Raw genomic sequence first — 21,407 nt, 5'->3', positions numbered from 1 at the left:
TGTATGTATTAATCCATTCTCACACTGCTATAAAGAACTACCCGAGACTGGGTAATTTATAAAGAAAAGAGGTTTCATTGACTCATGGTTCCAGAGGCTATACAGAAGGCATGGCTTAGGAAACTTACAATCATGGCAGAAGGGTGAAGGGGAAGCAAGCATGTCTTCACAGCATGGCAGGAAAGAGAGTGAAAGGGGAGATGCTACACAGTTTCAAACAACTGGATCATGAGAACTCACTATCATGAGAATAGCAAGGGGGAAATCTGCCTTCATGATCCAATCACTTCCCACCAGGTCCCTCCTCCAACATTGAGGAATACAATTCAACATGAGATTTGGGTGGGGACACAAATCCAAACCATATCATTCCACCCCTGGCCCCTCCCAAATCTCATGTCCTTTTCACATTTCAAAACACAGTCATGTCTTCCCAACAGTCCCTCAAAGCCTTAACTTATTCCAGCATTAACTCAAAAGTCCAAAGTCTCACCTGAGACTAAGCAAGTCCCTTCCACCTATGAGCCTGTAAAATCAAAAGCAAGTTAGTTACTTCCAAGATACAATGGAAGTACAGGCAGTGGGTAAATGCTTCCATTCCAAATGGGAGAAATTGGTCAAAACAAAGAGGCTACAGGCCCCCATGCAAGTCTGAAGCCCAGAAGGGCAGTCATTAAATCTTAGAGCTCCAAAATAATCTCCTTTGACTCCATGTCTCACATTTAGGCTACACTGAGACAAGAAGTGGGCTTCTAAGGCATTGGGCAGGTCCACCACTGTGGCTCTGCCAGTTACAGCACACTTGGCTGCTTTCACAGGCCGGCATTGAGTGCCTGCAGCTTTTCCAGGAGCGTGGTGCAAGCTGTTAGTGGATCTACCATTCTGGGGTCTGGAGGACGGCGCACTCTTCTCACAGCTCCACTAGGCAGTGCCCCAGTAAGGACTCTGTGTGGGGACTCCAACCCCACATTTCCCTTCTGCACTGCCCTAGTAGAGGTTATCCATGAGGGCTCTGCCCCTGCAGCAGACTTCTGCCTGGACATCCAGGCATTTCCATACATCCTCTTAAATCTAGGCAGAGACTCCCAAGCCTCAACTCTTGCCCTCCGTGCACCTGCAGGGCCAATACCACATGAAAGCCACCAAGGCTTCTTATGGCTTGCACCCACTGGAGCAGCAGCCTGAGACGTATTTGGGGACCTTAGTCATGGCTGGAGCTGGAGCGACTGGGACTCAGGGTGCCATGTCCTGAGGCTGAGCAAGACAGTGGGGCCCTTGGCCTAGCCCATGAAACCATTTTCCCTCCTAGGCCTCCAGGCCTGTGATGGGAGGGGCTGCCATGAAGACCTCTGAAACTCCCTCGACACATCTTCACCATTGTCTTGGCTATTAACATTTGGCTCCTCTACTTATGCAAATTTCTACAGCTGGCTTGAATTTTTCCCAAGAAAATGGGTCTTTCTGCCACATGGTCAGGCTACAAATGTTTTAAACTGCTATGCTCTGCTTTCCTTTTAAATGTAAGTTCCAATTTCAGACCATGTATTGGTGAACGCATATGAGTACATGCTGTTAGAAGTAGCTAGGACACCTCTGGAACACTGCTGCTTAGAAATTTCCTCCACCAGATACCCTAAATCATCTCTCTCAAATTCAAAGTTCCACAGATTTCTAGAGCAGGGGCACAATACTCCCTGTCTCTTTGCTAAAGCATAGCAAGAGTGACTTTTACTACAGTTCTCAATAAATTTCTCATCTCCAACTGAGACCTCCTCAGCCTGGAATTCACTGTCCATATCACTATCAGCATTTTGTTCACAACATTCAACAAATCTCTAGGAAGTTCCAAACATTCTCACCTCTTCCAGTCTTCTTCTGATCCCTTCAATCTGTTCCAGCCTCTTCCTGTTACCTACTTCCAAAGTCGCTTCCACATTTTCAGTTATCTTTATAGCAATGCCTCATTTCTCTGGTACCAATTTTCTGTATTAGTCCATTCTCACATTGCTACAAAGAACTACCTGAGACTGGGTAATTCATAAATAAAAGAGGTTTAGTTGGCTCATGGTTCCACAGGCTGTACAGGAAGTTTATGGTACTGGGGGATTTGGTTAAATAAATGGTCATCTAGCCATACCGTGGGGTACTGTGCAGTCATTAAAAATGAAGACGTGGCTGGGCACGGTGGCTCATGCCTATAATCCCAGCACTTTGGGAGGCTGAGGCAGGCAGATCACCTGAGGTTGGGAGTTCAAGACCAGCCTAACCAACATGGAGAAACCCCATCTTTACTAAAAATCCAAAATTAGCCAGGAGTGGCGGTGCATGCCTGTAATCCCAGCTACTCGGGAGGCTGAGGCAGGAGAATCACTTGAACCTGGGAGGCAGAGGTTGCAGTGAGCCGAGATCGCACCATTGCACTCCAGCCTGGGCAACAAGAACGAAACTCTGTCAAAAAAAAAAAAATACGTAGTTCAACGTAGCTCAGGATGGAAACGTGTTCTTATTGTATTGCTGTAGGTGGAGTAGGAGGGGGAGAAGATCCCAGATGACGTGTATGTGTATAGTATTAATAATACTCACCCAGCGTGCATGTGTGTGTGTACAGACACAAACAATCTTGCACATGCACACATCTGGAATGGATAACTAAATTATTAACAGTGGTTATTGCTAAGTAGAATTATAGATTTTTTTTCCTCAGGTTGTAAAATTTTTCAATAATGAGCATATATTTCTTGCATAATTTTTTAAAGGAGAAGATTTGTGGTGTAGGCCCCAGAGATTTCTAATCTGTGGCAGCTGGGTCCCTGGGACTGCCCCAGCTACATTTCCACCCCTTCTTGCTCTTTCCCTCCTCCCCCCAGACCCCTACCTTCCCCCAAGCCTTCAGTCTCCTGAAGCCAGGTAGGGAGCAGGGGCTCTTTGGAAGAGCCCACAGAGTTCCAGGTCAGATGGCCCAGGCTCTGTGCCTTCCCCTCTTCCCCTGCCTGCTGTGTCATTTCAGGTGGAAGGCCTGGAGTTTCACCAGGAGGGTAAATCAAAAAAGGGCCCAGAGGCCAGTCTATTGCCCAGGAACATGATGAGGCTCCAATTGCCCCTTTTCTCCTCTGGAGGAATGGGAAGGTAAGTCTCCTGCTGTCCCTAAACCCTTGCCATCCCCCCGATCCCTTCTCCACCAGGAGCTTTCAGGCCTTACTAGCCCAAATGAAGTCACAGGCTGGAACCTCAAGGAGGCCATCTGGACACAGAAGACAGCCATGGTGAGGACTTCCCAGGCTCTTTGAACAGGAGGCTAAGGGTGACTCTGTGCAGCACTGTCCCTACTGACCCCAAGGGCAAGGAGATGCTGGAACTTCAGGGGGCTTCCTCCAAAATGACAGGTGTGCTGGCCCCTGGCTATGGGTTGAGGAAGCTTGGCAGACCAGGGCAAAGGCTCTGGAAGCCAGTCGGGGCTGATAGGCTAGACTCTGGGCACCTGGCTGTCACTGCGGCAGGGCTCTGCCAAGCATGGGGCAGGTGTGGATAAAGCCTTGAAGTCAGAGTGGCCTGGAGAATCCCCTCCAGGGAAGAGACAGGCAATCTGGCACCCTGGCACCTGCACCCACCAGACTCCAAACAGGAAACCGTTTAGGGCAGGAAGAGGTGAGACCATTCCCATATGGCCTTTCCCACTGGGCTCCTACAGGAAGTGAGGGATGTTTCTGAGGCTGCGATGGAAAGAGGGCCCTTGGTGCTGTTCCTCTATCTTCACCCGTGAATCCTTTCATTTTCTCAGTTTCCACCAAAACAAGCAAAAATCCTGACCCATAAAAAGCCCTCAATTTGGAGAGTGGACATTTCCAGATGTTTGGGGAGATGGCAACAGAAATTTAATTGAACCTTAGACATATTAGACAACCTGCATCCTAAAAAGCCCCCAGCCAAAGACAGATGGAGAGGCTGCCCTCTCTGTGTTCCCACCCCCACGGGGGTAGGAGTCTCCAAACCATTTTCTCCTCGGCCTTAAGGGGAGGAGTGAGCTCTGCACAATGACAAGAAGCCCTTTTGCCAGCTTCACCTTTTCTAAGTGCCCAGCAGTGTAGATTCTTTTACTCCATGACACAAATTCTGCCACTGCTTAGAAGGCAAAAGTGGTTGCAGTCATTTTGCTTTCAGTGACAGTCTCTTTGTTCTGTGGTTGCTAAGATTCCTTTAGAGAGCCCCTCTTGTTGTTCTTTTTTGTTTTTGAGACAGGGTCATGCTCTGTCACCCAGGCTGGAGTGCCATGGCGCAATCACAGCTCAGTGTGGCCTCAAACTCCTGGGCTCAAGGGATCCTCTCACTTCCACCTCCTAAATAGCTGAGACCACAGGCGTGCAACACCACGCCTGGCTAATGTTCTTTTTATTTTTTGTTGAGACGGGATCTTGCTATGTTGCTCAGGCTGGTCTGGAACTCCCACCTCCAAAAGTGCTGGGATTACAGGCATGAGCCACTCTGCCCCACTGGCCTCTAGTTGCATTTAAACAGGTTGAGAATTTCACAATAACCTGAAATAAAGTGTTGTCCTGGAACTTGGGCCTCAGGGAAACAGGAGATTCAGTAGCCAAGAAACCAGTGGCAACCCTGTGTCCCACCTGGCAGTGACGCAGCAGGGCATGGGTGGAAAGGTGGAGGGACAGGAGACAGCCACAGTGAGCTGCGCCCCCACCCCCAGTTCTCTTGCTACAGCCCAGCCCTCAACCTTCGAGCTCTGGCTTCATTGTCCCCTTCCCATAAATCAGAGAGAGAAAAAGAAACACACACACAACCTTTTGGGGTCCAATGGCGATGTTAATAAATACATAAAATTTTAAAGATCTGGATTTCCAAGGCACAAGAGTTTAACACAGGCCAGGCTGGTTCTCACAGGAATGACTCCGCGTGTGCCCCAGCATCCCAGGGAGGGGAGGGCAACAGGGGGAGGGCGGGGAGCCCCCCAGGACCTCCACTCTCCAAAGGGGTTGCAGGCCAGGGGCCCACTACTCATGTTCCTCCAGGCTGGCTCAGAACAGCCCCTTTGCCTTGGGGAAGGAAGAAGTGAGAAGCACCTCTATCACCTGGCAGGAGTTTAGGAGACATCCTCCAAGACCCCGGAGGTGTCCTGGGACCCCCTGCCACTTCCTGAGAGCCAGAGGATCTAAGACTGTTACCTGTCCCTTGGAGGTAGCATGGCCGGCAGCTGAGCACAGCTCAGGCCCTTACAGCACCGTGGGTGAGTGTGTCTTCCCCACTCCAGCACCAGGCCAGGGGCTGGCACCCTGCCCTGGGGCACTTGGCCTGGGTGGCCCTTGTCATCTCCAGGGCCAGGCTATGAGTGGACTCTGGTCCTCAGTCCTGGGGTCCAACCACCCCTGGGAGAACCACACACTCTGGCCCAGCTTGAGCCAGGTAGAAGATGAAGATGTCCGACTCCAGCAGGAGCGATCTTCGGAGAAGGGCAATGATTGAAGGGACAGCCTGAGAAATCGTGTTCCCTCTGTGTCCCACAGAGTCCCCTTCCAGGCTGAGAGTGATAATTGAAGTTGCCATCCTGGTGGAGTCAGGGAGTGAGCGCCAGTTTGGAAATCCCTGGATGCTGAGGACTTGGGGTCCAGGGTGTCCTGAGCCCCCTTCTCTGGTGGGCTGGGGTGAGATTGGGGGGCCAGTCTGTAATCTGGAGTCACTAGAAGTAACACTAGTGACATCTGCAAGGCCAGAGTATGGCCATGAGCACCATCTTCTGGCCAGCAAAGACAAACTGGCCTCTGCTGCCTGGCCTCAGCTGGTGGAACTGCATGGAGCTCTTGGCTTCCAGGAGCTGGGCCTGCGATCACCTTGTGTTCCACCCCCTCCAGCCCTGCAGCTGGGAAGCCTCATGCCACATTCCCAGGCCCCCCTCCTCTCGGCCTGGCTGTGAACAGTCCCCCACCTACCCTGGCCCTGCTTTGCCTTTCTGGGGAGAGGGGCCAAATATGCAGGGCCTCCACAGGGGTCCTCACAGTTCCGGGAAGGCAGGCAGCCCTGACAGCTTCTAGCTACAGACCAGCCGGGATTCAGACCTGCCCAGGCCCAGGGTCTGTGAGGAGGGAGCAATAGTTGACCCTGGTCTTGGCAGGGGAGACCAACAGGGGCCCTGAGAGGGTCAGTCCCGCCGGGGGCAGCTTGCTGAGGTATCTCCGATTAGGGCTTTCCCTGATCTTTGTCTTCCTCCCACCCCGCTTTGTGGGGTAAAGAGCATCACAGCCCCAAACGAGAAGAAGGCGAATGATTTAAAATGAAGTCTGTGCTTGCGCCTGCCCTGCTATGTGTGTCCTCTGAGCTGGGAGTCACGGGGCAGTACACAGAGTGTAAACGTGCCAGTGGGATGGCAGGGCACAGCTCATGTCACCGGGGAGGCAGCAGGGAGGCTGGTGCCGGGATGTCTCAGGTCTTCTCCAGGTTGCCCTTTGTCCTCAGGGACTGGCGTAGGTGTCTGAGTCCAGCCCCAAGGCAGCCCCCCGGGGGTGGTAGGGGAGATGCTCCAGGATGCTCCAGGGATTGGTGTCTCAGGGGCAAAGGGATGCTGGGTCCCTGGGGAGCTTGTATCCAGAGCTCCTGGGAGCTGTGTGGCTCGGCCATGCTGATGGTCCTCTGATCCCGTTGGCTTTCCAGGAGGCTCTGCAGCATCTGCAGGGTCCTGGGGTCCTGGTAAGGGGCTTCCAGGAGTGGAGAAGGGGGGCAGTGAGGTTGGGCCAGGGTCTGGGCCAGGGTTGGGGCCCGAGGCCTTCTTGATGCAGGACACACAGCAGAGCCGGTGGTAGCCGGGAATGGAGCAGTAGCGATCGAGCACTTCCATCTGGCAGAAGACAGACCTGTCTCCCGTGCAGGGCTCCGCTGCACACACAGCACAAGGACAAGGATGGAAGCAACGTGGGGATGCCTGTCAGTCAGGTGGCCCCCCCTCCCACTTACCCACTGACTGCCCGCCCTCCACCCCTGCCCCTGCTGGACCCACTATAAAGCTTTTTCTCAGGGTGGGGGCTACAGAGCCACCTGACGGGAGAGTCAGCCCTGACTACATGGAAGAGGAAGTAAAATCCCCTAGAGCAGCAGATCTCAAAGTGATGTCCCCACACGCAGCAGCAGCAGCGTCACCTGGAAGCTTGCTGGCAATGCACATCCTCCAGCACCACCCAGCCCTATTGCATCAGAAACTCAGGCTGGGGCTCAGCGCTGTGCTTTCACAAGCCCTCCAGGGGACTCCACGTGTGGGCGCATCTGAGAACCCTGGCCCTTCGCCATTCGCCCTCAGCCCTGCTGCACACTGGAATCCTTGGGGGTGCCTGTCTCCTTCACCCACACACTGGACAATCTAGGGTGTGACCTACCACCAGGTGCTTCTAACTTGCAGCTGCTCTGGATGGAAGTGGGAACCCTAGCCCCTCCCAATCAACCCAAGGAGTCTGGCCCCACTCCAGCCAGGGTCAGGCTAGACCCCAGGCAACTCATGCTTGGGACAGGCAGACTGACCATCCTGCCACAGTCAGCACACATCGGGACATTAAGACTGCTACTGCTTAATTTGGAATCAAGCAGATTTCAGTTCAAATCCAGGCTCTACCACTTAAAAGTGTGAGGCCTTTGGCAAGTCACTTAAACCCTCCAAGCCTCAGTTGCTTCACCTATAAAATGGGGCTGATGTTGACCCTTACCAGTGAATAATAACATTGCAAACAACATCTTTAAAGCACCTGGCAAAGATAAGTGCTCATTACACTAGTTTGCTTTGCCCAAAATATCACACCTTTCTGTGATAACTCCATGTAGGCTTCTCCAGACAGAATGTGAAGGCAGGAGCTTTGCTTTCTACTAATTTTTGCCAGAGAGAGAGAGAGAAAGAGGGAGGTGGGAAGAGTGGGAGGGACAGAGGGAAAGAGAGACACAGGTGGAGGGGCAGGCTTAGGGGAACAAGAGAAAGATCAGAGAAAAATGGAAAGCCAGTGGCCTCTAGATGGCGCCAGATTTCTGGAACCAGAATCGGAATCGTCCTTTGCTTTGGGAAGGAAGACGGCAGGAAACCCAGGCACTCCCCCAGTCAGAACCTCAGCCTAGGAGCAGAGAAGTAGAAGATTGGAGGTAGAAGGTCCTTTGAGGACATCTAGTCAGAACCTTATCTTACAGATGAGGTCACTAAGCTCAGAGAGGTTAACGAATTTGCAGCCAACTGGTCCTCTAACTAGGAGTTAGGGTCTTTGATCTTTCTGCTACTCATCTTGCCAGACCCTGGTCCTAGGGAGGGTGAGGAAGGAAAAGAGAGATGGAACCTAGGAAAGGAGTGAAGAATCTACAGCCTGGCACGTAGCAGTTGCTCAGTAAATATCTATCCGTGGGTGGATGAATGGAAAGATGGGAGGATGAACTGAATCATGGGGCTGAGAGAAATTGCTAGGCCTATTGTTACTGGAAGCTGACAGCCAGACAGGAGTGCATGCATTCTCTCATCCAATTATCTCACCAGCCCTATGAAGGCAGCTCATATCTACAATTGCTTGTCTGAAAATATTGGAACCAGATATAGTTCAGAATTCAGAACTTTTGGGATCAGAAACATTATATTCTGTGTTTATATTATAGAACATCCTCAATGGAGCCTGAGATATCACCTTGTAACTAAATATGGCTAAATTTCTATATCAAAAGAATAAATGATCTCATTAGTTCAGGTCAGATTTTGCTGCCAGGTAAGTTTGCACCAAACTTAGAAATAAACATTTTGGAATTGCAGGTAACGGCTCATGGACCAGTAGAGCCTCCTCCCCACTTCATAACTGAGGTATCTGAGGCTCAGGGAGGTGAAGGTCACACAGACAGCTACAAGCTGGGTTTGCTCCACTGAGTGGCCCATGCTGCAACACCAGGGCCACTGAAAGGTCTGGGGAGCAGGGTAGGGTCCATAGACTGTACTTACTTGATGATATCTTGTTAATGGGATGTAGGGGTTCAGATTGTGGCACCCACTGCCCCTCTGGCGTCCCAAGTTCCCAGACATCGGCCCTCACCGTGGAGTTCTGGTGATTTCCTGTGAGCAGGAAGAAGCAATTCTAGTATTTGGGACTTTGGCCCAAGGGACTGGACCTGGCCTCCCCATCCCCTCTGGCTCACCTCCACAGGCGGGCAGGCTGCAGACCTGGACAGTGTCTGGCCTATCCCCCTCGCAATGCCCGAGGCTGTTGGCGTTGGTCCTGCACACCACCTGCCGCTGCTGGATGCCCTCTCCACAGGTGGCAGAGCACTGCCGTGGGTGGGTCAGTGCCAGGCATAGCGGCCGGGGTCAGGGTAGGTGGAGAGAAGAAAGACGAGTCAGTGAGCTCAGAGCCCAGCCAGTGCCCGGGGACAGAAAGGGTACAAAGGAGAGCACCAAGTCTTCACTTGACCAGAGGGACATGCAAGGACTGCTTCTAAGGAGCCTCAGTGGGACACTGTACCTGTTGCCAAATAGTCCTGATACCAATGGTGAAGAGCCATTGCCCTGAGCCTAGAACTCCATGGGCCTTTCCACAATCTAAACGGTTAATCTCTGGCTCAGGAGGGAACCTCTGGGACCCCATTCCCTACTACCACCTGCATGCACTGTGTCTGGTCTGTGCCTGGGTTCTTTAATATTTTGTGTATCACTCTAGCAAACTCCCCTGTTGCAATCCACTACATGGTGTGACCTGGGCAGGTGGATTGATGTGATGATATCCTATTAACAGGATATAGGGGCCTGGATTGTGGCTTCTGCTACCCCCCACCCCTGGTTCAGTGTCTTACTCTGTAAACAGAGAGCTGGGCGACAGGGTCTCCATGGACCCTCCTCTGACTAGCTCTGATAGTCAATAATCTTGTGACTTGATTTACCAAACATGGGCCTGCAGAAGTATGTTCAAAAGTGTCTTCTTCCCTGATGGAGCAGGGTGCGGGTACAAGGAGCAGGAGGCACCAGAGGACCGAGGACCACCGTTTGCAGGGGGTGGCCACACACATCGTCCCCTGGACCTGACCCACTCTAACTCTGACAAACAGGGAATGTGGAGGTCCTCAATGGAGGGGCAGGGACTCCAGGAAAGCAGCGTTGCCCAGTGTGACTGGGTCACCTTTTAGATGCTGACCACAGCCTTATCTAGCTGGAAGGAGAGGAATTTGCAGGACCCCACTTCCCACACTGGAGCATGTGACCACTGAGACACAAGGGTCATGGGGCCACACAGAACTACGAGACAAACACGGCATATCCTCCCAGGATGAATCATTACAAACAGCAGCTAACAGCTCCTGACTGCTCAGTCAGTCTCATAAGGGGCTGTGAAAGTTGATTATATGAATAGGGTCATACTTGTCACACCCAACTAAATCAGAGTTGAGGGACCAGGGGAAAAAGCACTCAGGGCACCTAGCACCTGCTCCAAGAATTAAATTCTCCACTGGGCCAGCTGCTGAAACAGGCTGATGTAATTCCAAGACCAGTTTTACCTAGCAGCTGCTGAAACAACCTGCTGTGACTCCACGGCTAGTTTTCCATAGCACCATCACTCACCAGTCAGAGCTTGCCAGCTCCCAAAAGCTTGTCTAGTGCCAATGAGTTGGTGTTCAACACAATACATATCATGTCTCTTTCTAATAAAACCCCCAACCTTTCCTTTGTTCTTTGGACATACTGAAGACCACCCGGTCTCTGTGTATGCCTTGAATTGCAATTCTTACTTAATAAAAGTTAAATTTAGAGATTCATCTCTATATTTTGCTTATTGCGACAGGGCCAGTATCTTCCACTATCTGCCATCTCTCTGTTACTTTTATCTGTGGGGTCCTTTGAAGACCAGCAATCTGTTTTATATCAAAACAAATGAAGCTATATATTATGGAGACATATAAAATGCATGAGTTGTGTGTGGATTTTTGGTTCTTTACAAATATTCATAATGCAATATTTCAAAATACAGAAAAGTATGGAGTTATTCACAAAACCCTATCCAGATGCCACCACCAGCCTTAATAAATGAGCATCCCAGAATATTTTCAGATTGTGTTGTGTCCCTCTAAACATTAAGGAAATGACATCCATTGGAAGTGCTTTTTTACTTCATACTGAAGTACTTTTTCTCACCTAAATGTATTCTCTATAACAGAAGTTTATCTATTTTGGTAAGTACAGTTCAGGCCTGTTCATTTTTCTTGTTGTATAGTACTGTATTATATGAACAGACCATGATTTTTGTCCAATCTTCTATAGATAAACATTTGAGATACGTCCTAATGTTTTGCTGTTGCAATAAACAGCATTGTGATCAAATGAGGTTTTTTAAATTGGGGTAATATCTATATAACATAAAGTTTGCCATCTTAACTAATTTTTTCTTTTTTTGAGACAAAGTTTCGCTCTTGTCGCCCAGGCTGGAATACAATGGCGTGATCTTGGCTCACTGCAACCTCTGCCTCCCAGGTTCAAGCGATTCTCCTGCCTCAGCCTCCCGAGTAGCTGAGATTACAGGCATACGCCAGCCACCACACCCGGCTAATTTTTGCATTTTTAGTAGAGACGGGGTTTCACCATGTTGGCCAGACTGGTCTTGAACTCGTGACCCCAGGCAATCTGCCTGCCTTGGCTTCCCAAAGTGGTGGGATTACAGGCGTGAGCCACCGCGCCCAGCCCATCTTAACTATTTTTAAGTCTATGGTTCAGTGGCATTAAGCACATTCCCATTGTTGTACAATCATTACCACCATCTGTTTCCAGAACATTTTCTTCTTTCCCAACTGAAACTCCTCGCCTATTAAACACTAACCCCTCATTCACCCTCCAGCAGCCCCTGGAAATCACCAGCAAAGTGCCCTCATGGAGTGTTTGTCCTTACATGTCTGGATGTCTGGCTTATTTCTTTTCTTTTTTTTTTTTTTTTTGTGAGACAAGCTCTTGCTCTGTCACTCAGGCTGGAGTGCAGTGGCATGGTATGGTCATAGCTCACTGGAGCCTTGACCTCGTGGGCTCAAGCAATCTTCCTACCCTAGCCTCCAGAGCAGCTGGGATTACAAGCACACACCACCACGCCCAGCTAACTTTTTACATTTTTTGTAGAGGCGAGGTCTTGCTCTGTTGCCCAGGCTGGTCTCGAATTCCTGGGCTCAAGCAATCCACCCACATCAGCCTCCCAAAGATCTGCCCACCTCAGCCTCCCAAAGTGTTGGGATTCCAGGCATGAGCCACTGCATCCAGCTTGGCTTGTTTTACTTGGCATGATGTTCTCAATGTTCACATCAAATGAGTATTTAAAAGAAAACCCAAGACAATTTCGTCAAGGCAGTTTCCCGAAGGTGGCCTCCAGGGTCTGAGCCACAGAGCACCCAAATAACTAAGCAGCGCTACTGCTATCTCCCCTTCGCTACCCTGACTGTCTAACGCTCAACCTTCCACAGCACCGTCAGAGTGATCTTTACAACCTGAAATCAGAGCTTGTAATGCCCATGTTAAAAGGCTTCCCTGGTTTCCCATTGCTCTTAGAATATATGCAAACCCCTTGCAAAGCCCGTAGCCATGGACCCCCGCCTGCCTCCCCAGTGTTATCTCGCAGCCCCTATCCCTCCCAGTCAGCTCCAGCCCCACTGTCCTGTTGGCTTCTGGAACGTTGTAAAATTGTTCCTGACTTGGTCTCTTCCTGTGGCTTGTCCCTCTGGTCTCAGCTTGAGCAACACCTCCTCAGAGAAGCCCTCTGACCGCCCTCCATCCTCCACCACATCGACCCACTACTCCCCACCCAGCTCCGACTGCAGTCTGTCAGTGCTTGGCTGTGGGTTGATGGCCTAATACATTTCCCTCACAGGACTGTGGGCTGCACGAGGGCAAGAATCAGCTCTGTCTGGTTGATGCTAGGTTCCCTCATTCTTAGTACAAGGTCTGGCATACAGCTAGTGCTCAGCAAGTATTTCTGGAATGCAAGAGTGTACTTCAGTCTGCTCATCTGGAACACAGGGACATGAACCCATGCCTCCTGGCACTGTGTGAAGCTTACTGGCAGGAATGAATGAACCTAAAGGCCTAGCACAGAGCCACGGCCCAGGGTACGTAGGAGCTATTCTACTTTAAGGAAAACAAAATTTGATGTAGGGGGAGCCATTCAGGCAGAAACTCTCTTGCCTGCAGGGAACACCAAAAAAATCCCTCAGACCCACCTCCTCCCCAAGCCCCTCCCACCTCCTGAGGACAAGTCACCTGGGACCAGGCTCCCAGCCTCCACTGGGCTGGGCAGGGCACTCGGAGACAGGGCCGTCGGGCCTCAGGCCGGTCCCCGGCGCAGGCTTTGGCCGGCATGACCTTGTGGGTTCCATTGGAGAGGGGCAGCAGGCACTGTATCCCCCGTGTCTGCACCCCCAGCTTCCCACAGCTCCGGCTGCAGGCACCCCACTCCTCCGTCACCCACCTGGAAACAGGGTGAAAGGAGAGGAGGTGAGACCAAGGGGGCACTTCATCCCAGAGGACACTTTCTATCCCCAGACAGCTGCAGGCAGGAGCCAGAGAGTGGGTTTGGGTTTCAGAATGTTTGAGGCCTAGGACAACTGTCCACCTGGCTCTGCAGCTACTGGGTATGTGACCTCAGGAAGGGCACTCTTCTCTCCTGCTGTGTCTCGTCTGAAAAACAGGCATGATGTGTATTTAAATCCTAGCACCCTGCATGTCCTCGAGCAAGCTATTAGCCTTCTAAGCCTCAGTTACCCCATCTTCACATCACGATTACTTCAAAGCCGCATACATATTTGAGGGCCCACTGGCGCAAGCACTGTCCTGGGTGCTGAGAAGCGTCAGGGCACAAAACAGATCAAACCACACTTTCAAGGCAGATCCCCCAATTTCCCATGGGGCTCCTGGGACAAGAACACTGTTACTGTCACCATCATCATCCACAGAGCTTCCACATAGAGTAGCTATGCTGGTGGCCTGCAAGTGTCTTTTAGCCACTGAGCAACTTCCAACAGCATCTTAAGCGCATGCCCACTGGGTGCATTAGAGGAAACGAAACTGCTCTGGTGAGGATGGAAGGAGGGAGAGCCTCGACTCCTACTCCTCCCTGGGTTCCCAAGGCATCTTTTAGTCACTTCCAGGCAGGTTTCCTAAGTCAACCTCTTCCTTAAAACCCCAAAGGGGTAGGGGCTGGGGGATACCGGCCAGGAACTCAGGCAGAGCTAAACTGCATGTTCTGTGATTACAGGCATTTGTGGGAAAATCAGTCTGAATAACAATACAAAGGAACAAGTGAAAGAGAAGCACAGGGGGCTGGTTATGAAGCTGTCTTGGGCAGAGGAGGGGCTGGTTATCATGGCCTGGCCTGGGCACAGACAGGGAGGCCACAGCAGCCTCTAGCGCTGGCCACCGGTTCCCACCCTTGCCCCAATTACATGCCCAGCCCTGGGGCTCCCCCAGCCCAGGGGAGCAGAAGCTGACGAGACCCAGGCAGCACCCTACGCCTACCAGGGAGGACTCCTGGGGAAGCAGGAGGATGGGCGATGCCCTCTGTGGCTGCTACCAGCCAGCCACCCTCGGCCTCAGTCTGCTTGGGGTGTACTAGGGAAGCCTGGTGGAGGCTGAGGAGGTCTTGAGGCCGGCTCTGCAACAGGTTCAGAGGCCTGGCCATGAGCCCTCCACCAGGCATAGCTCTCTCCTCTCCCCAAAGTCTCTCCCCTAAATAATCCCAAGGTCATCCTTGTGCTCAGAAGAGCATGTAGCCGCAAGCCAGGGAATCCCAATTAGGGGCTGGACCATGGCTGGGGGCTGGCAGGCTGAGCCATGTCTCTGGACTCCTGACGATCAGGCAGAGAAGAGGTAGAGGTCAGCATCCTGGCCTGGGCCTGGAGCCCAGAAGCACTGAAAGTTGTGTTGCCTGTATGGTCGTGTCTCCATAACCCAGTGCTGAGGGGAGCAGGCTCAGCAGCCCCGCTGCCTGGGGCCCGGGCTAGGCATAGAACCAGACTCCCCGTCCCTCCCTGGGAGCACTCACACAGGCTGAGAGCACGGGTGCTGGTTGCAGCGCCGGCGGATGGGCTTGGGCCTCTTCTTGTGGTCACACAGGTGTCGCTGCACCATGTGGTGGTCTCGTCTGCGCCGGCAGCCGTATTTGGTGAACTGGATCCCTATGGGGTGGGCAGGCTGCCGTGGGCCTAGTCCAGCCAGGCCCCCCATTGCCCTGGTGGGGCCTCAGGGGCAGTACCTGTGGAGAGCCTTGTGGGCCAATCCCACCTCCCTCTGCCTATGCCCCCGCCTGCCCACGTCACTTTCTGAGGGACGCCTTCCTGATCAGCTCCATCTCGCTGGTAAGAAGGTGGCTCTGGACAGCTGTCTGTCCCCACAGTGGGTGAGCTCTTTTAGGGTAGAAGCTCTGCCCGGATATGGCTCTAGCACCCCCAGCCTCATCCCAAAGGCCCTGCCCAAAACGGGCTTCCACACACTGGAGATCTTCAAGGAGAAACTGAGTCATAAGCAAGGACACATCAAATGGAGACAACATCAGTCCCCCACCCCTGCCTCTCAAGGGATCCTGGGCTGCCCCAACAAAGCACTGGCGGGTCAGGGAACCGGTACCTCCTCCACAGGCCTTGCTGCAGGGGGCCCAGCTCTTGAGCGCCCACTCATAGGTGTCCATCTCCTCCAGGAGCACATTGTTGCTCCCGATAAGGGGCAGCAGGTCCTCATGGATGACGTACTTGTAGGCCAGGCTGCTGCGGGGGCCACCCTCAGTTGGGGGGAGAGCCTGAGGGGAGATGGGGAGCTGGCACAGGACCAGAGAAAGAAGCAAGGGCGGCATGCACTGGGAGGGGAGGGGCCGAAGAGAAGGCCTTAGGGTCGGAGCAGAACCTGTGAAAGCTAGGATGAGGTTGTGCCCAGCATGGCTGGGGTATGGTAGGGGGTTGGATTCAGACCAGCTGCCATAGGACAAACTCAGGCTGGATACCTGCTGTGTGCCAGGCCCAAGGGCAGCCACTGCACCTAGGAATGCTCTTCCCTTTCATAGACCTCAGTTCTGATGGGAGGGCAGGGCTGGCTGTCTGTCTGTCTGTTCTGCTCACTGCAGCATCCACACTGCCTGGCTCTAGAAGGCAGTTAACAAGAATGGTTCGGATACTGACCCTCATCAAATATATGACTTGCAAGTATTTTCCCCCATTCTGCAGGTGGTCTTTTCCTTTCCTTGATAATGTCTTTTGATGCACTTAAGTTTTCAATCTTGATGAAGTCCAATTTATCTATTTTTTCTTTTGCTGTGTATGCTTTTAGTGCCTGTCGTATCTAAGAATCTAAGGTCATAAAGATTTGCCCCTCTGTTCTTTTCTAAGAGTTGTATGGTTTAAGCTCTTATATCTAGGTCTTTGATCTATTTTGAGTTAATATTTGTGTATGGTGTGAGGAAGGGGTAGAACTTCATTCTTTTGCATGTAGACATCCAGGTGTCCCGGCACCATATTTTGAAGAGACTATTCTTTCCCCATTGAATGGCCTTGGTACACTTGTTGAAAATCACCTGGCCATAGATGTATGGGTTGTCAACAAATATAAGGTGAGTCAAAAGTATATGCTGGATTGAATTGATATGCTGACACCAATAGGCCACAGAGCCTGTCCTCCAGGAGCCCCCCAGCTGGTGAGGGTGACACCAGGAACAAAGCCCATCCAAGGTAACCCTGCCACCAGCCAGTGCTGAGGGCACCATGGACAGAACTCCTAATGGTCTCGTCTGCTGGGTTAATCCCTATTCCACAAGCCCTGGCCCATGCTCTAGGAAGGGGGGTATGGGCAGAGATGTGCCCCAGTCAGGCTCTTGTCCCCTTTTCAGGAGGCTGGAGCTCCTGGATCAGCTGCATTAAAGGCCCGAGGAAGCTGCTCCTGGACTCCCTTGCCAGCCATGCTACGATGCACACAGATGTGGGATTATGCCAGGATGACCCAGCCCTGCCCAACCTCCCTCCAGGCTCCATTTCCAAGACTGCCTTAAAGAGAGCAGGCTCCCTGCATGTAACATCTGGGGTCTGACAGTGAGGAGACAACTGTCTTTATCTCTCCTCACTTGCCATCCTGCAGGCTTTTAAGCACAAATGAGGAGCTAATCCCAGGATGGAAGGTGCCTTGCCCTTGCCCAGGCTCCTAAAGACACCAGAATGGTGTCACGCTGGCTTGGCAGCAGATGTAGCGAGCTAAGGGGACAAGTGGGGTGGGCAGGGGTTGCCACCGCACAGAGTGGGGCTCACCAGGATGGCAATGGCTTCAGGCAGGGGCCCGCTGGTCTTGAGGCTTTCCTTGGCATCCTCCACCGCATCCTCCCACTCCAGGCCCATGGCGGTGAAGGTCCGGCTTGTGGCTTCCTTGCCCTTGGGGTTGAGGATGAAGCTGCCGGTGACCTGGTTCTTCACCACTGACCGGTGGGGGGAGAGGGTCACACAGATTTCTGCTCCTCTCCACAGGGGGCGGGCCATGAATATGAAATTCAAGGCCTTCCCAGTGAGCCTTCTGGGCTCCTGTCCACCGGCCTTTCCTTCCCACCCAAGCCCTCCCGAGTCAGACAGGTCAACACGCTCCCTGTCAAACCCACGTGCGCGCACACACACACACACACACACACACACACTCTTGCTGCCTCTGGATCCTAGTGCACACCATTCCTCCCACCTTTACTGCCTTCCTTTCTTCCTGCCTAACTAACCTCTACCCATGGTTGAGGCTCAGCATAATCTCCTCTCCTCCAGGGAGTCTTCTTTGGTTGCCCAGTCCTCAGGGATTCTGCCCTCCCTAGAATTTCTATAGCAGAGCATAGAGGCTGAGAGTACAGACTCTGGAGTCGGATTGATGGTGAGGAAACTACTCAGCCCCACTGTGCTGCCTCAGTTTCACCATCTGTAGAATGGGAATGATCATTGTACCCAGTTCGCAGGGCTGCTGCTGCCCCAGGAGGATGATAGAAATCCCCGCGCCCCACGACTGAGGCTCTCAGGACAACGAGAAGAGTTCATAAACATAGCCAGCTTGGCAAGTAGTGATGCGCAGTGGGCACTATCGCTAGACCACCAGAAAAGTACTGGACTTTTGGCACTGCTGTGATTGCAGATGCCACACCTCTCCCAGCGGCCTGTTGGCTTATCTCCATCTTGGTGTCCTCAGCCCAGCACAGGGCCTGGAACAGAGGCAGAGATTTTAAAAATCCATAAATTTCTACCCCTTAATGTCCCAGTCAGTGAGTAACTCACAACTTATTACCAAAAGACCCCGGGAGGCAGGTGGGTGGGAGACATGTAGATGCCAACACCTGGCCAAGGCCCCTGAGTGGTACCTTTGGCCACCCTGGACTTCCTAGGGCCCAGCAGCCTGAGACCCAAGCACCTTAGCCAAGTAGGGAGGGCAAAGGCTCCAGAGCCTTGGGGTGTCCAGGTGGAAGGGCCCACAGAGCTCCCACCTGGGACAGATTTAAATGGTCATAACTGTCATATAAGAGCTAAGGATCCGAGAACACTAACTATGTGCCAGTCACTCTGCCAACTGCTTCAGTTCAATCCTTAAATACATCCTAAGGGCTGGGCTATTGTTAATACAGATGGGGAATTGGAGACTCCTAGACACACAGTGTCCTGGACACACAGTGGGCAACAGTTGGAGCTGGGCCAGAGCCCAGGCACCCAGAGAGACAGGAGCAATGTAGGGGCAGGGTGAGGGTGGGGAAGAGGGGTGGAAAAAGAAGAGCCTCGCCCCTTCCTGGGAGGCTGCTGGAGAGATGCCCCTCGCCTCCTGCCCACCCAGGCCTCTCCCTCAGGTTCCCTGATCGCTCTCAGTCCCCAGCAGCTCCAGACTGTCTAAGCTAAGGCTGGGCAGCTCCTCAGGCCAGGTGCAGCCTCCAGTTCTCCCATTGCCTTTGACTGTGCCTGCACCTCACTGTAGCAGAGCCCTGATTATGCACCCCTCATTCCAGACCGTTGGGGGTGGACCACCATAAACTCTCCACTGTCCAGACCCAGTCCCGAATCCAGGCTCCACCACTGACCTGTTCTGTATCTAACCTCTCTCTGAGCCTCAGTTTCCTTTAACTGCAAAGCGGGAAAACAATATTCATAGATGGCCATGAGGCTTACTAAACATACGCATGAAAAGTGGCAGCTCATGGCCCAGCGCATGGGAGATATTAACAGCATGAGTTCTCCTTCTCTTCCCTACACTTCCTTTCAAAGACCCCATGTCCCCAATTCCAGGAGAGTCTAATGACAATGGACAGAGCCTCTCCCTTCATCGCCAGGGCTGCCACCTGTCCTGGGCCTCTACATATCCTGTTGGGTACACACACCCCTACACGTGCATGCACGTGCATGCACACACTCACACACACATATTCACACGTTTTCACTGAAGGCCACTGTGCACCTCACACCTGTATAATCACACAACCTGTGCCAACTTCAGAGTTCAGCTCCTGGGCCGCCACTGCTTCGCTCTCCCCACCAGGCTCCCCGGAAAACTCTAACCTTTCAGGGAACTCACCCGACAAACAGGCAAGCAAGCCCGCACTCGGCCTGCCCCGGATGCTAGCAGCCTCTGCCATGACCTCCACAGAAGACTAGTTCTTCCCTGGGGATCGAAGAACTAGATTTCTGGAGACAGCAGAGGGTGGAAGGGGCTGCTAATGTTCTGAAATCATCCCCTGGGGATGCAGTGTCCGTGAGCTCCACCTCTTCTTGGAATAGATGTCCCTTCTCTCCTTGCCCCTTCCCTCCCCCGGCCCCTAATTCCAGCACATTCCCCACAGCCAGGCAGGCACAGCAGGCAGGACTTGCCTGAACCAATGTCCTCTAACCTGGGCTCGCTGTGGTAGAGTGGCATGGCTGGCAAGGGAACAGGGCTGAGAGGCAGGAGACCTGGGCCCAGACTGGCTCTGCCCATACTCCTCATGGATGAATCAGGGCATACAGAGGCCCCCAATCCACTTTGGGTTTCAGTTTCCCCTTGTGCCTATGGCCTGATGGGACAATGCCCTTTCAGATGCCTTCAAGAATAGAAGTTTAGGAGCCCACTGGAGCTGTGTTAAGGGGAGGTGCCAATGCAGATGCATTCTCCAGGAAATGCAAGTTATCCAGGAAACTTTGAAGGTATTTACAAATTGCTATTTTGATGATAATCTAAAAATATGAATGGCAGCATTTGTGTGTGATGTGAGCCTGCCAAGAGATATGTGTTTTGTTTTTCCATTTATGATGAAATTGGCACCAAGCAGTGTGACTTGGCAGACGTAATAGGTAAGAGGGGCCTCTGTGACATTTCAAGGGGACATTGTGGCCTGCACGTCCTCTGCAAAGGGGTCTGAACACAGACACCACTGCCCAGTGTGGGAGAAGCAGCCTTCTGCCCACTTGCCACCGGGACCCTGCTCTGAACCAGGCTCACAGGGTTTGAACCGAGATATAATTCACATGCCATACAACTCACTCGAATAAGGTGTACAATTCAGTGAAAAAAAAATTTTTTTTGAGACGCTCCTGCCTCAGTCCCCCAACTAGCTTAGGACTACAGGCATGCACCACCACGCCTAGCTGATTGTTTATTTTTTATTTTTGTAGAGATGGGATTTCACCATGTTCCCCAGGCTGATCTCAAACTTCTGAGCTCAAGCGATCCACCCACCTTGGCCTCCCAAAGTGTTGGGATTACAGGCGTGAGCCGCTGCGCCTGCCCTGATTTTTAAGTAGATTCAGCCATTGCCACTGTCTAATTCCAGAACATTTTCATCGCCCCAAAAAGAAACCTGATACCCATTAGCCGTCATGCCTCTTTCCTTCCCCAGCCCCTGGCAGCCACGGATCTATTCTCTCTCTGTCTGTGGATTTGCCTCTCTGGACATGTCCATTTTTTGACAGCCAATTTAGTTTCAGCAAAAACGAAACAAAACATCACTCATATTATATTAATGGCCTTAATTTAAATTTATTAACTTATTGTGGTATTCTCATTTTTAATCGAGCCTAGCTTCATAGTTAGATAACTGTTACAAGCACAAGGGTGTCACCTCATTTAGTGGCTTGGTGTTTAAGTATGATTATAATGAGAATAATGTAAGGGCCTGTGTGGTAGACTGCAGAATGCCTCTACATTCCTCCTATTCCTCTATGCATGCTGCTTTGCACAGTAACTTCACCACTTCTACCATCAAGAGCTAGTCTATGTTTCTACCCCTTAAATCTGGGCTTGTCCATGTGATTTGGACTAATGGGACGCTAGAAAACATGACACAAGCCATTCCTGAGGACTATGTGACAGATATAATGTGAATAACACTGGGTTAGCCTGTTGAGGACACAGCCCTGCCACCTCCATGACCCCAGCTGACAGCCAGTACCAACCACCAGACATGTGAGCGAGGCCATCCTAGACC

At 52.0% G+C, this 21,407-nt stretch overlaps 1 protein-coding gene across 11 annotated transcripts in view, besides 2 other annotated features; it reads right to left on the bottom strand.

Annotated features, from left to right (window-relative positions):
- Nucleotides 4,681-5,450: an enhancer, noted in NCBI's record as "H3K27ac-H3K4me1 hESC enhancer chr10:72521542-72522311 (GRCh37/hg19 assembly coordinates)". NCBI's record gives its function as "activates a minimal SCP1, AML or CMV promoter by ChIP-STARR-seq in naive H9 embryonic stem cells {active_cell/tissue: H9 hESC(naive)}" and the evidence as "EXISTENCE:reporter gene assay evidence [ECO:0000049][PMID:30033119]".
- The window catches only part of ADAMTS14 (ADAM metallopeptidase with thrombospondin type 1 motif 14), an 89,936-nt gene continuing 73,323 nt past the window's right edge, over nt 4,795-21,407 (bottom strand). For 5 of the 11 annotated variants that reach the window (NM_139155.3, NM_080722.4, XM_011539302.2 and 2 more), the window contains 7 exons: nt 17,251-17,414; nt 15,590-15,758; nt 15,009-15,141; nt 13,229-13,436; nt 9,145-9,274; nt 8,951-9,061; nt 4,795-6,876 (listed from right to left, as the gene is read on the bottom strand). In NM_139155.3, the coding sequence (NP_631894.2) occupies nt 6,383-6,876; nt 8,951-9,061; nt 9,145-9,274; nt 13,229-13,436; nt 15,009-15,141; nt 15,590-15,758; nt 17,251-17,414 (1,409 nt within the window). In that variant the 3' untranslated portion in view covers nt 4,795-6,382. The other 6 variants (XM_011539300.3, XR_001747025.2, XM_011539308.3 and 3 more) reach the window with 6 other exon arrangements.
- Nucleotides 9,642-10,601: an enhancer, noted in NCBI's record as "H3K27ac-H3K4me1 hESC enhancer chr10:72516391-72517350 (GRCh37/hg19 assembly coordinates)". NCBI's record gives its function as "activates a minimal SCP1, AML or CMV promoter by ChIP-STARR-seq in primed H9 embryonic stem cells {active_cell/tissue: H9 hESC(primed)}" and the evidence as "EXISTENCE:reporter gene assay evidence [ECO:0000049][PMID:30033119]".

Source organism: Homo sapiens, chromosome 10 (genome assembly GCF_000001405.40).
Source record: "Homo sapiens chromosome 10, GRCh38.p14 Primary Assembly".
NCBI lineage: Eukaryota > Metazoa > Chordata > Mammalia > Primates > Hominidae > Homo > Homo sapiens.
The sequence above is the reverse complement of the archived record's forward strand: the minus strand, read 5'-3'. Positions and strand labels throughout refer to the sequence as shown.